Source organism: Homo sapiens, chromosome 6, assembly GCF_000001405.40.
Source record: "Homo sapiens chromosome 6, GRCh38.p14 Primary Assembly".
NCBI classification, from domain to species: Eukaryota; Metazoa; Chordata; class Mammalia; order Primates; family Hominidae; genus Homo; species Homo sapiens.
In genome coordinates, this window is record NC_000006.12 from 133,884,120 (window position 1) to 133,898,288 (window position 14,169).

At 44.6% G+C, this 14,169-nt stretch overlaps 1 protein-coding gene and 1 long non-coding RNA gene across 3 annotated transcripts in view, besides 3 other annotated features; one reads left to right on the forward strand and one right to left on the reverse strand.

Moving 5' to 3' along the window:
• The window catches only part of TARID (TCF21 antisense RNA inducing promoter demethylation), a 386,755-nt gene extending 381,868 nt beyond the window's left edge, over positions 1–4,887 (reverse strand). Inside the window, exon 1 of the long non-coding RNA NR_109982.1 lies at positions 4,485–4,887. This is a non-coding gene — a long non-coding RNA (TCF21 antisense RNA inducing promoter demethylation). The remainder of the gene's footprint in view (positions 1–4,484) is intronic.
• Positions 4,542–5,455: an enhancer, noted in NCBI's record as "OCT4-NANOG-H3K4me1 hESC enhancer chr6:134209799-134210712 (GRCh37/hg19 assembly coordinates)". NCBI's record gives its function as "activates a minimal SCP1, AML or CMV promoter by ChIP-STARR-seq in naive H9 embryonic stem cells {active_cell/tissue: H9 hESC(naive)}" and the evidence as "EXISTENCE:reporter gene assay evidence [ECO:0000049][PMID:30033119]".
• On the forward strand, positions 4,994–11,418 carry TCF21 (transcription factor 21). 2 transcript variants are annotated; one of them, NM_198392.3, is made up of 3 exons: positions 4,994–5,728; positions 7,594–7,691; positions 9,036–11,418. In NM_198392.3, exons 1-2 carry the CDS (start codon positions 5,279–5,281, stop codon positions 7,681–7,683), a joined length of 540 nt encoding a protein of 179 aa, NP_938206.1. In that variant the 5' UTR covers positions 4,994–5,278; the 3' UTR covers positions 7,684–7,691; positions 9,036–11,418. The 2 variants fall into 2 exon arrangements, with proteins under 2 accessions (NP_938206.1, NP_003197.2); NM_003206.4 differs by lacking the exon at positions 9,036–11,418 and having other exon boundaries at positions 7,594–8,138.
• Positions 6,707–7,471: an enhancer, noted in NCBI's record as "H3K4me1 hESC enhancer chr6:134211964-134212728 (GRCh37/hg19 assembly coordinates)". NCBI's record gives its function as "activates a minimal SCP1, AML or CMV promoter by ChIP-STARR-seq in primed H9 embryonic stem cells {active_cell/tissue: H9 hESC(primed)}" and the evidence as "EXISTENCE:reporter gene assay evidence [ECO:0000049][PMID:30033119]".
• Positions 8,357–8,965: an enhancer, noted in NCBI's record as "H3K4me1 hESC enhancer chr6:134213614-134214222 (GRCh37/hg19 assembly coordinates)". NCBI's record gives its function as "activates a minimal SCP1, AML or CMV promoter by ChIP-STARR-seq in primed H9 embryonic stem cells {active_cell/tissue: H9 hESC(primed)}" and the evidence as "EXISTENCE:reporter gene assay evidence [ECO:0000049][PMID:30033119]".

Below are 14,169 nucleotides of genomic sequence, written 5' to 3' on the forward strand. Positions count from 1 at the left end.
AGAAGCTTTCTCACATTTACTATGATTATTCAAACAGCAAAAACCATTCATGGCAATGTGACTCAGTGGAAGGAATAATACGAGGCAAATCAGGACACAGGGTCAGGTGGGCAGTACTGTCCCTGATACCTCACTGGAACAGAGTTTGTGATTATTTATGGCCTCCTTGGTCCCCAGCCCCATCCAATTCTGACAAACTATTACTTTGTGTCTCTATTTTAAACTGCTTCATCACCTGGAAATATTTCATCTTCCTAAAGTCAGGATTCACACTCAGTACTTTCCTGCTGGTCCTAAGATCTAAACCCTGCAACTCTTGTCTCCTCAAAGCTGAAAGCACCTGCCACCAGGAAATAATCCCAAAGAGGTAATCACCCGAAGGAGCCTTTGATTCCAGTGCCCATACTCTCCCAAGCTGACAGGAAGGAGGCTGACAGCAAGTTGGCCTGTATTGTTTTATGCCCATCAATAAACTATATTTAACATATAAGTGCATTACAGAGGTCTCCCATACAACCTAGAAGATTTATTCTTTTTGTGAAAGCTTGGGAGGTTTTGCTTTCAAGCTTTATTTTAAGATACAGAATAGTCATCACTCAAGCCAGTTTTTCTAAAACTTTATTACAGGGGAAAGCCTCTGGCATACATTTCTAATACACTGTTCATTTCATGTGGCAGCTCTTTCTTTAGTAGTGCCAACAGAAAGGAGAGAAAATACATGAAATGAGAGAATGGAGGCAAAAGTCCCTGCATGGTACCTGACTCAGGAGTCGCTCAGTCCTTTTCTCTCTCTTTCCTAACACTGACAGGGTCTAATAAAATTATTCTAGTATTAGAAAACTTAGGAGGACATTAAACTGGCTTTGCAAAATTTTTAACTCTCTTTGTCTGCCCGAGTTTTCTCTGGCCCACTTACACCTTAGGGTAAATTCTGACTTTCAAGTGCATAGGCTTGGCTGCTTTCAAAGCTGTATTGTGGAACATGTGAAATGCAAGATTAACTCCTGGATTCAAAGAACCATGCAGAATCTTTCCCTAGACTTTATTGTTGTTATTTGCCACCTTTAAATCTTAGCAATGTGGCATCTTATCTACAATTCACTGAATTAAATGTGAAAAGAGGGGGTTAAGGTATAGTGAACACGCAGAAGACTTCTAATTACTGAATGGATTTATACCATCCAGGATTTATACCATCTCCCAGCTGGTGCCAGGTAAAGGTAGCAGCAATACCCAGCATCACTGTTATTGACCTTCTTAGCTAGCCACCAAGCTCACTAGTGCCATATTCACTTTGGCTGCCAAAATATAACAGGACAGCACCACTATAATTTAGAATGAGCAAAGAGAGGTAATGCTCACTTTATTAAATAAAGTTAAAATTTAATGAAACAAAGTCAGAGTTTGATAGGCATATAAGCGGGAGATAGACAACAGTCAATCAGCAGCAAACAAAGTATATGGAGATAATTATGTAAAATCAAAAAAGAGGCACCTGGCTGGGCACGGTGGCTCATGCCTGTAATCCCAGCACTTTGGGAGTCTGAAGTGGGTAGATCAGGAGTTTGAAACCAGCCTGGCCAAAATGGTGAAACCCCACCTCTACTAAAAATACAAAAATTAGATAGGCATGGTGGCAGGCACCTGTAATTCTAGCTACTCGGGAGGCTGAGGCATGAGAATCTCTTGAACCTGGGAGGCGGAGGTTGCAGTTAGCCTAGATCGTGCTGATGCACTCCAGCTTGGGTGACAGAGCAAGACTCCATCAAAAAAAGAAAAAAAAAAGGCGTCAACTTTTTTTTGCATAGAAAGTTGGCAAATATTTGAAGTGGTGGTAGTTACCATCAAATAAAATGAATAAAACATCTGGAGGTGCTAATTAGAAATGAAGAAAAAAGAGAATGGGCAGTTTTGCCAATTTGCCAGCCTGTGTCTCCTGACCAAATGATGAGGAGTAAGAGAAAAGGATTAACATTTAAATTTAAAGGCATATTTTTCCCCTGAGAAAGATTATGTAATGGCATATGAAGTCAGTTCAAAGGAAGCCTATGATGTTTTCCTTCTCATAAAAAAGGAAGCAAATTATTCCATCCAAGTGCAACTGAATCAAATTTGAACTTCCTGTAAATGTATCAGCTGATAAACCAGGATTTAAGTTCAAGGGTACATTCCATGCCTAATCTTCATTTTACAGCTTTCAGAGATAAAATTTCCTTAGCACTAAAATCTTTCAAAGATAGTCTCTCTTGCAAAACAAATTGTTAGAAGTGAGCAGCAAATTGGCCAGATGCCTCTGGGGCATAAATGTTTCTTAAAAGTCAGGTAAGAACTTTTAGAAATGATCTCATACTTTCAAATCACGAGTTTTCTATTTCGTGCTTTGGAACAGAAATGGTCAACTTACCAAAAGGGTTAATACAGCTTCTCAAAAGTGCTTGTCTTCTCACAGAATATAGTTTATATTTTGGGAGAATTTGGCACAGCTTAAGTTACAGCTTAAATGACTTGCTCAGTAGAATCCAACAAGAAGTCATTTCTCCCACCCATTTGTCCCTAAGTGTTTATTAGCAGGGATAGACACAAAATTTTAAAAGAAAAAAAGTATTTTTCATATGAATATTCTCTCTCCAAGACTTCATATCAAGATACATAAGCAACAGTATTCTTCGACTCTTACTCCCAAACTGGAAGCCATCTTTTACAGAATTTTAGAAACACTCCAAAATTTATTATCAGCCCACTAGCCTTTCTCAGCCCAAATGTCTTACTGCAAGATAAATGGACATGGGACTTAATTATTTCTTATATGGCTATGAAGAAAAATAATTGCTAAGCATAAAAACCAGCCTATGACATGAGGCTAGTTTTACATGCTTCCAGAAATTGGTACTTTTAAGTTTCCAACATTGAAAAATATACAGACAACAGAAATCTTTTCAGTGGTACATATTACTATGATTTTTACTATCTCCCCAGACAGCCTGAGCAGTCCATTAACTAAGGTGTAACAGAGACCCAGAGCCAAAAAGAAAAAAAAATGGCTCCAACAAGAAAAATCACAGCTTAATGTATGCAGTAAGGCCATAGTTTGGATTTATAATAATTATCACATTCCAGAGCCCAAATTAATTATTTGTAGTTATTTTGCAGATATCTTAGTAGCTACACACACACACACACACACACACACACATTTCACAAAGTATTGGCCAATGCCCATTTTCACATAGCTCTTTAGTCTAAAAATAACTTTAACTTTCATGTTTTACCAAGACTGAGAAAAGGGAGAGCAAATCAAAGGAAACTAGTTGAGGAATTAGTGAAGAAATTTTTAACAGGCCTGCTGGGTGTTCTCTCACTGCTGTCTTGAACCTCAGATTAAATTATTATACTTTCTGTGTTGTAGTACTGGGTCATTCGTATGTGAAGACAAAGGCAACTTCAACTTGATATTTCTGTCATCCCTGCTGTGGGAAGAGTCCTTTTCCTGGTTTATAACATCAATCATTCTCACAATAAATCTTAGGGTGGATGTGGTCATTTAAATCTCCACCTGCACAAACAACAGAAAATAAGAGAGCTCATAAATCTCTACACTGGTGATTAACAAATTTTGGATCCTCAGCGAAGATATTATGGAAGAGGGGTCGCTAATTCATTAATAAAGACTGATTTGCTGACAACCTGTTTAGTTTACAGCATAGGGGGAAAGCAAACAAGACCCTGCTAGCAAAACAAAACGTTAGAGGTTAGTGAATTCCCAGCTGAGCCTAGGATTAGAGATATGATATCTTAATGTAGGAGAAGCCTTCAGACCCTAAGCCAACCACTCAGAAACCACTCTTACATTTTGCTCCAGCCCCTCAACTTCAATGCCTACCTGCAAGGGAAGAAAACCTGGCAAAGAAATTGTAAGAGAGATTTATGCCTTCAGTCTCCCTGGTTTCATTGCACCAATTTCATCCAATCCCTAGGTTCTGTTTCCCTGTGCTTTTTCTACCTACTTCCCAGGAGACTTTCTTATTCTCTAGGAAAGGTGGTTCGAGCTGGGGTTAAAGATGGAAAAGAACCTTTCTCAAAAGGATAGTCTTGCTTTGTGTTGTGTAATGTCAGCTTCATGTGAGGAACACTGGCACCTAACAGGCTGGAAGAAGACAAAGACAGCAGCATTGAAAGGGACGGTGCATCACAAAAAGTGCCAGGCAAGGTGATGTCTGAGAGCAACAAAGACTCTCAAGGCAATATTAAATGCATTTCTAGAAAAGAAAAAAAAACCGAGGGGAAAGTTTCCATTTATTAGGAAAAGATGATCAACTAACATAATGTTTTCCACACACTCATACTGCCCTCTCATTCCCTACCCACTCCCACTAAGCTGTGTGTGGTTGGGTTTGAGTGTGCAAATCAAGTATGTTTGTGTACACGTAGGCAGTCCTTTGATGTCTTGAAAATGACCAGGTGTAGGTGAAATGTTTTATACTTACTTTTCCATCACCATAAAGATTCTAGGAAGCACTTGTCTTCATTTATCCCGGGGAAGGTGGAAGATCTCGGTAAAGCCTTGGAGTCTTATGAGGTGTTGGCAGGATGCGGTTGATACTCCCTGTATTTTAATTCGTGTTTTCTTGGGAGGAGAGAGGGCATGGAGTGTAGGTGGAAGGCCCAGAAAGAGCCAAACGATCTAGTCGTTTTTCTAAAGTTCTCAGTAACAACCAGTTGTGACGTCTTAAGAGAGAAAGAAGGCCTTTTACAGATGGACAGAACATGCTGCTTCTCGGCCCCGGCCACAGTTGGGAGAAGGTGGCTGGTAAGTACATGATGCAGTTGAGTTGATTTACATTACAAGTTGCAAATCAGGGTCTGTGCATTGAGTTTCCCTCCGGTTGTGAAAGGGGTCTAAGCGCTTTGCTGGGGCCTGGCAGGCCCCTCCCTGGGCTGCAAGGATCCGCCCCTCTATTCCCCAGATAAATTCCTAGTGTCCACCAAATTCCTCAGCGCTCGCTCACCCTCCTCTACGGCCACGACTCTGGGAGTGGGGAAACAGAGAGCCGGTTCCTCTGCTGCAGAAGTCCTCGGGGTTCCTTCTCACAACTCTGCGAAGGGGAAAGGGTTGTGAGACCCAACCAGACCCCAACTCCAGCTCCCAGCAGGAGGTGGCTGCGCCACACTCGGGAGGCCTCTTGGTTTCAGGGTCTCTCTGTCTCTCTCTCACCCTCTTCCTCGCTTTCTCTGTCTCTCTGTCTCTCTCTCTCTCTCTCCCTCGTCCACTCCCCCAAACATGTCCACCGGCTCCCTCAGCGATGTGGAGGACCTTCAAGAGGTGGAGATGTTGGAATGTGACGGGTTGAAAATGGATTCGAACAAGGAATTTGTGACTTCCAACGAGAGCACCGAGGAGAGCTCCAACTGCGAGAATGGGTCTCCCCAGAAGGGCCGCGGCGGCCTGGGCAAGAGGAGGAAGGCGCCCACCAAGAAGAGCCCCCTGAGCGGGGTCAGCCAGGAGGGGAAGCAGGTCCAGCGCAACGCCGCCAACGCGCGAGAGCGGGCCCGCATGCGAGTGCTGAGCAAGGCCTTCTCCAGACTCAAGACCACCCTGCCCTGGGTGCCCCCCGACACCAAGCTCTCCAAGCTGGACACGCTCAGGCTGGCGTCCAGCTACATCGCCCACTTGAGGCAGATCCTGGCTAACGACAAATACGAGAACGGGTACATTCACCCGGTCAACCTGGTGAGTGCTCCCGGGGCTGCAGCTGCAGTCCAGGCGCGCCCGCACTCCCGCCTGCGGTGGGCGCGAGTGCGCGCGGGGCTGGGAGTGGGGGTGTGGGCGCGGCGGTGACTTACACATCTCGACCACCGCGGGCCTAGAGCCTCCAGGGACCGGAGGCGGGCGGTCTAGACACGGCCCTCGCTCTCTGCCCTACCAGCCCCCGGAGCGGGAGTGATTTATGCGAGGGTTTGACGTGGCAGCCCAATTAAAAGTTTGCAAGTGTGTTGAGCTGGCACAGAGGAGGGATCCCCCGCTCCCGCTCCATCGCCATCCTCCCTGGGGTGCAGTGGCTGCTGCGGAACTGAGAACACTGACAAGACGCTGCGAGCGGACAGGCATTTTGTTAATCCTTTTTTCTTCTTTTAGCAGAGAGTGGAACTTGATTTTCCTTTCCTTGTAAATAAAAACACCCAACTCCGTTTCTTTCACAAGCATATTTAGGACCATTGGATAAGGACACATCTATGCCCCCCAAATTGTCCACGTAAGCCCTTAACCGCTTAAATATTCTGTGCTTCTCCTATAAGTGGATTAATATTTTTAAATCCCAGAAGTTCTAGTAATGATCAGCAAAATCAGTAAATCCTCACTAGTATGAGTGTAATAAATACTAAAATAGGTCACTCTCACCCAAGATTTAAGAAATGTTACCTTTTATCTTAAAAAGTAATGCCCATTGAGCCTAATTTTTTAACACAAAAAACTGATAATCATTGAGTCTACTTTTTTCTCAAATGTATTTTACTGTTTAAGAAATATATCTTAATTTTTTTCATTTGATTTTATTTTAAAACTTCTAAGATCTAAAGAAAAACAATAACAACAACTTACTAGGATCTCTGTTTGTATATGATAAGAATGAGAGATTTTTCCTTTTAAAAGGCAAGTCTTATCAGCTAGCACTAGAGCAGTAGTGAGAGGGGTCTGAATTGTCTTCTCACCGAATTGGTTTCTGGAATTGCTGGAGAAGAAGATGCAAACCCACATTTTACCATGAAAAATGTTTTCTCTCCAATTGAAAGTTTGGGGTTTTTCCCCCCCAATGAGTAAATAGCTTTTTAAAATCTCCACCTAAAATGAAAGTGTTGCCTCGAATATTTACAACTGCTACTCTCTTCATCTTTGAATAAGAAACTTAAATGAGCTTTATTATAAAACAGCCCGGAGAAAGGAAGAGAAAGCATACTTTCTCAGTCCAGCATGAAGACGATCTTAAATTAAAAGTCAATGTAGTATAGCATTTTTTTTTCCTTAAGAGGTGGTGATTAATCTAGAAGCTGTAGTCAAAGCCGGTGTTTGCGATGGAAGAAACGAAAGTCGGACTAGGGAAATAGATGGTGATGAAAGGCGATGAAAGCGACAGGGCCCTGAAACCCGACCACCGCCTCAGAAGGAGGCCAGGAGGGCGCTTCGCCCCGAACTCGGTGCCCAGTAGGCACAAGGTCGTTCTGGGCTTCCCGGCTCAGACTGCCAAAGCGTCTGCCTCCAGGCAGTGCCACAGCACCACCCACTCTCCCACTCTCGGCTTGCCCGGGGCTTCCTGCATTGAGTCTCACAAGGAACCCAGTATAAGCCCTTTTGGCTCTCATTCTAAAAGACCACCACCAGCACCACCACCACCTCGAGCTGTGACTTGGCGCCAAAGCAGCTATTTGCTTTATGCAGCCGCAGGGTGCGCTAGGACCGGGAGTAAATTGCAGAGATAACCGGTCTCTCCAGAGCACCGCCTGCCCCCACCGCCCCCCTTCCTTTCATCTCAGGCCCCGAGTCCACCCCACCCCCTCCGCCACGGCCACTTACCTCCTCCACCCTCTTCTTTCCCGCAGACGTGGCCCTTTATGGTGGCCGGGAAACCCGAGAGTGACCTGAAAGAAGTGGTGACCGCGAGCCGCTTATGTGGAACCACCGCGTCCTGACCTTGGAGGTGCGAGTCTGGGAAAGGCGCGCTCCCGGGGGGAGCGGGCCCCGGGAAGGCGACCCCTGCCCTCAGTGCTCTCTGTCTCTGCTTCCCCCTCGCAATGCTCCTCTCTCTGTCCCACCCCGCGAGAACACTTTACAACGACGAGGAGATTCGTTTCCAAACCAGAGGAGATCAATTGTACTTACAAAGATTCCCATCTATTTAACTTTATTAACTTCTACCGTGAATGACTCTGCAAGCCTTGCTGGTCCAAGTGCAATATGTAATTATAAATATATAAATAGATAAGAGCCTATCAATGTATCTTTTGTACAATATGTTGTAAAATGTAGATCATAGGATAGCTGACTTTGACAGTCACATTTATAAAGTAATTCACTTAAAGATATATATTTTTTTCAAACAAGTTTTGCTACTTTTGAAAATAAATCTTTCTTTATATTGCTAAAAGCTCTGATATTTGGAGTGATTTTTAAAAATATTTGGAATAAGAAAGTGGGAAACTATGGGGAAGCTTGATAATGAAAATGGTTCTTTTAAACCTCAATCTAAACTTCTAGAGATAGAAGAAAATTGCATATGAGTTTCATAATGAAGATGCAGATTATGTTTTATACTGAAACCTTAAAAAAGAAATATATCGGTTACTTTTAAGGCTAATAGAAATTATATAACTGAAAACAAAGAATGGGCAGTATTAAAGTTATCCACAGTTATACAGTTCAAGAGTAAAACGCACCAGAAAAAGGAAATCCAATTTTCATGGATTCCACCGTATGACTGCTGACACGGGCGAGAAAGTAAACTCCACCTTTTGTCACCTTCCAGGTGTGAGCATAGCTGCAAACTAGTGAAGAAATAATAGAAGCTATGAAAGATGTAAATTCCATAACCCTTAGGGTGTGTTTCAGGATTTTCAAAGCTCTGCAGCATACATTATCTACATTTCTTATTAATAGTCCATTAATTAATTCTAACAATAAACCCGCATGCCTGCCTTTTGGTTGCTGTTAGCGGGTGCGTTTAGCTCCCGCCACGACTTCCGGCGGACTGGGTTTAATTTAAACATTTTCCAGGCTACGGAACAGCTCCTAAGGGAAGATTAAGTTGAGATAAACAGAGAAGCAAGGCCGAGGAGCCTGCGACCCGGCTCCCTCACTGCCCCAGCGCAGCCCGCGGCGGCCGATGCGCCAGATGCCACCGGGGCTGTTTAATGTTCGGGGTTATGACCGCAGTGTTTACAAGACGTCTTCGGTTATTTATACTGTTATTCCTCGCAGAGAGCCTTGAAACTTCCGCTTCATTTGCTCTTTCTTTTCGATTTTTTACCCTTTTTTCTCGGCTTAGTTTGGTACCTGGAGCGAGAGCTTCTCCGCCCTTCCACCAACCCCACAGGCCGCTTCGCGGGTGGAGCCCTCTGCCTGGCCATGGAGGAAGGATCCCGCTAGGCTGGTCCCGACTGGAGAAGCTGCTCTGCCAGGTGTGCTCTCTGTCAGCAATAGTGACCTCATTACCAAGGGGTGGCGACCACATTACCAAGCGCAATTCCCCATTCTCCAAGGGCTGAGAACTTCGGTGACTTCATCCACCTGTCTATTTGCACATGGAGGACTTTTCAAGATGTCAGGATACCCTTCCATCACCCCACCACCGCCACCCCAACTTGACTTTCAAGAACACATTTCAAGCTCTGGCCAGAGTCCCGTTCCTCAAATTCATGTGTTCTCTCCTTTCTACCAGAGGGATAGAGCCCATGCCTCAACCTATCCAGAGTTCAAATCAAAGAGTCCCCAGTGTGATTCAATTGATTGCCTTTCACGTTTCGCAAATTTTCCAATCTCCCACTCACGTTTTTACAAAACGAATGCTCTAAATTCTGAGGATTCCAGGCAGGCCATCCATAGAGAAATAACTTTTTCTTGCTCATTCCCTTACAACCCCAATCTATACATGGATTTTTAGAAAGTCTTCATGGCTATCTATAGTTCCCTACCAATAATTTGAAGCCTTTGCTTTAGGCAGGAGGCATGTGGCTATGAATAGGGAACACGTAGATTTGACCCTGGTTCTGCATCCAACTAGCTGTTTCTTGAAAGAGCCTGGATCCTCAGTTTTCCCATCTCTGCAAGCAGGGATAACGGTAATGAGAATGATAATAATCATTATATGCAGACCTTCCTCTTTCATCTTACAGAGGCTTAGTGAGGCTCAGATGAGATTATATCTGTAAAATCCCTTGGTAAAGGAAAAGCTCCGTGAAAATGTCAGTTACTTTTACTAAGTGGCGGGTAGTGAATTATCTGTGCCTAGACCCAAACTGAAAGTGTCTCAGGCAGGAAGTTCCAAGGGATGTATGTTTATAGCATCCAGGCAATGATCTTTTTTTTTCCACGAACTAAAATACCTCTTTTTGGTATCTATTGACTCTTTCTCTCTCTCTTTCTGTCTCTCTTTCACCTTGCACCTCTCCCTAATGCTCTCTAAATTTGTCCAGAGCTTTCTTTTTCCTAGAAATCCAGAGAGCAAAGTCAGAGCCTGGCACCTGCAGATAGGATAACACTGGTGTCTGATGGTGAGGCTGCCCAGTCCCATCAGGAGCCTCAGCCAAGGAGGGGCCTGGGCACACTCAGGTCCCCATGGTTGTCCATTGAATGGAGTGAGGATCAAGGTGGGAATGACTGGGTGGTGGCTGCCACTAGCCCAGGAACATGACAACGTGACCACACCACACATGCCTCCAACACACACCCACAGTCTAAACATCTCTCCTTCTCAGTGAGCCCTTCTCCCATTCCAGATCATCAGCACACCCACACCCACCATAGGTCTCTCTCCTCCGGTCTTCCCAGAAGGGTAAAACTCCCAGCCTACCCTGCTCCAGCTTCAGCCCAGGTAGTTGGTGTGTCTCAATATGAATAGGGGGTGAGTAGCTTCATAGAAAGAATGGGGAACTCCCTTGGCCTCAAGCCAGTATAGTTTGGAAGTTGGGGGTCGGGGATGTTAAGGGTGGGGAGTATCCTGCCTGTGACCTCTAGGTTATGAAAACTATCTTAGAAGGTGCTTTTAGAAAGAACCAGGAGAACAACCAAAGCAGCTTACAGACGCCTGAACGGAGAATGAAGTGTTTCAAGTAAGCGAGTCTGCAAGTTCTCAGAAGCAGACAGATATCCAATCTGGACTGCAGCCAGGGAAGTCCTCTCTCTCGCTCTCTCTCTCTCTCTCTCTCTCTCTCATTGCTTGTATGACTTCACAAGCAACTCAGGATCATTCTAGCAGGCTTTCCCACTGTCAAACAGAGACTTCATTCTAAAAAGAGAAGTGATAAACAGAGCTCCAGCTCTGCTAGCTCTATATATTTACTGATTAGTGGAAAGCACTGACCAAGGAGACTTTTAAGCCAGTGGTTCTTCAGAATCACCTAGATGCCTCCACCCTCCAGAGATCCTGAGTCCAGGAGTCTGAAGTGGGGCCCCAGGTGATGTCATTGCTGCTGGTCCCAGGACCACATTTTAACAATCAATGTTTTCAGGTGTCTCATGAGGAACACTACTTAATGCAGTGGGAAAGAAAATATTTCAGAGGAGAATTTTTTCTTAAAGAAGCTGCATATTCTGGACTCTAATTTAGTTTAATTCACTCCAGGATGGCACGCAGGATTCCTAATTCTTAAATGCCATTCAGTCTGGACTTCAAATCACTTGTCTTCAGAAAATAAAAGATTTGTTCCACCCGGGTGTGTGGACATGGATGCGCTCATCCTGTGTTCTCAGACAGATTTCAGTCATTAGATGATGTTTTTAAGTCCTGAGTGGATTAAAGCCAGACTTCTGTTGGCTCCGTTGCGACCTCTAAGGGAGAGAGAAATCTGGGCTCCCTGGAATCACGTCCCCTGCAAGAGAGTCCCTTGGTCCATTCTCGGGCCAGAAAAAAATCTCCCCATCACTCCAGTGCGAGTGGTTGGCCTTGCTCTGGTCCGGCACTGTGTGCGTCGGGAAGTCGGCCTGGAGTTGGGGTTGCAGGGACGCCACGGCTGGTGGCGAGCGCAGCAGGAGTGCCTGGAGAGCTCGCGGCCAGCGGGGAGCTGAGCGCAAAGGCGGAGGAGGGAAGCAGCCTCTGAGGCTTCCCCGCCTGGGAGAAGAGTTTTTGGAAGTAGGCGAGACGGGGAAGGAGTTCTGAGCCTCAGTCCGCACAGCCTCCTTTCCGTCCCTTTCCGGGTGCAATCTCCGGGCCAGCGGGTGCGTGTCCCGCTGCAGATCCGCTGGCTCAGGGATGAGGCGCAGGGCAGGTTCTGGGTTACGTCCCCACACCGCGGGGAACCCAGGTGCGAGCGGGGCGCAGCTGGCCTGCCAACATCCTTTCTTAGCTTTGCATCCTTCGCTCCAAATGCTGGCTCTGCCCTTGGAAACTCGCTGGTTGCCAGCAGCATTCTTCAGAGTCCGCCGGGCTTCCTTCAGGCGTTTGGAGGAACACGCCTTTGATCTTTGGGTCTGGGCAGGCTGCGCGGGCCCACCCTCCTTCCAGTTCACCGAAAGATTAACCACCTCCAAGGACTATTTAAGAGCCCCTCTCAGGGCCGAACGGGGAGAAAGGGTGGGAAAAGGAGGAGAGAGCATCCCTTTAGAATGCCCCAGAGTGACGAGAACAGACTTCTCAAAAACAGTGTCAGGCGGTCTTTTGTACCCAGCACTCAGTGTAGTGCCTGACACCTCAATAAATGTTGAATCATGAATGAATCATTAACTCTTTGAGGCTATAAGATAGATAAGATAGAGAGTAATGGGGCAAAGTGACAATGGGCTGTTGTGGTTAAATTGAACTTGAACTTGAACCTCTTACCTTGAAGTCTGGGCGCACATTTGAGAAAAGAATAAAGCAAGTAGGTATGATGGGACTGGGTGAAATCAGGTGGTGGTGGATTGTTTGCAGCACTCACGAAATATGCTCTCTCCTTTTCCAGTAAAATATATTACTAGATGTTAATTTACATGGCCCGTAGACTAGAATCATTAGTTTAAAATGTGCTTTGATAATGAAAATGATTTGAGACACTAAGCAGATTACATGACCTTATTTTAAAATTAATCCAGTTGGTGATGAGGAAGTAATGTATTGCTTTTCACAGATGTAGGTGAGACACTGGTATAGTGGAAAGAGCTTTTGACTGAGTTCTTGGACAAGATACTAGACCTTTCAGGACCTTGGTTCTTCCATCTCTTTAAAATGAGTATAATAATGACTACTTTTGTGAGATAATGTGTAATTGGACAATGCCTGGAACATAATAGACACTAGTTAATATTGGGTTCAAGCGATTCTTCTGCCTCAGTCTCCCAAGTAGCTGGGATTATAGGCATCCACTACCATGCCCAGCTCATTTTTGTATTTTTAGTAGAAACGCGGTTTCACCATGTTGGCCAGGCTGGTCTCGAACTCCTGACCTCAGGTGATCCACCCGCTCGGCCTCCCAAAGTGCTGGGATTACAGGTTTGAGCCACTGCACCTAGTCTTTTTTTTTTTTCTTAACAATCATACTTTTCCTCCCTAAAAGAAAAACTCTCCCTTTCTGTACAGTCACAACACTTCTGACACCAAATGTGTGGAGTTTTCCCACATACAAATGGATTCTCCAATTCTCTATGGACACCAACTGGGTGTCCTACAATTCAATTCTGATGCTAACTCCTTGCTAATTTGCTATAACAGCTCACAAACACTTATTTACAGTTACTAGTTTATTATAAAGGATATCACAAAGGACACAGATGAACTAGTTTATTATTTACAGTTACTAGTTTATTACAAAGAATAGCTTATTATAAAGGATATTGCAACAGATACAGATGAATAGCCAGATGAAGAAGTATATAGAGCAAGGTTTTAAAGGGTCCTGAGCATGAGATCTTCTGTTCCCATGGAGGCAGAGTGTCCCACCCTCCCAGTAAGCGGATGTGTTCACCAACCCAAAAGCACTCTGAGCCTTGTTGTTTAGGGGTTTTGTGGAGATCCCATTACATAGTCATGATTGATTAAACAATTGGCCATAAGGGATTGAACTCAAATTTCCAGCCCCTTTTCCCTCCCTGGAGGTGAAGTGGGGCTGAAAATGCTGACCCTCTAATCACAAGGCTGGTTCCTCAGGCAACCAGTTGCTATACCTTAGCTGTCTATGGACCATGCAGTGATTCCAGCCACCAGCCATCTCATTAGCATGCAAAAAAAAAAAAAAAAAATTCTTATCACTCAGGAGATTCCAAGAGTCTTAGAAGCTCTTGTGCCAAGAACCGGGACAGAGACCAAATCTATATTTTATATTATATCACCAAATAATATTCCCCTTGAATGAAAGCAATCTAAGACATCTCTAAACCCAGGAGAATTTTTTAAAACTAACTGGGTCATATAGTTACAAGTAATAAAAATCCATACAAACTAGCTCCAATAAAAAGGGGAATTAGGTATTGTAAAGATAGTCCAGAGAATC

Bases quoted from the DNA above. Each gene is read 5' to 3' on its own strand.
- TCF21 (NM_198392.3), top strand. From the start codon at position 5,279: ATGTCCACCGGCTCCCTCAGCGATGTGGAGGACCTTCAAGAGGTGGAG. The intron at 5,729-7,593 runs GTGAGTGCTCCC...TCTTTCCCGCAG, and splicing joins ACATTCACCCGGTCAACCTG to ACGTGGCCCTTTATGGTGGC.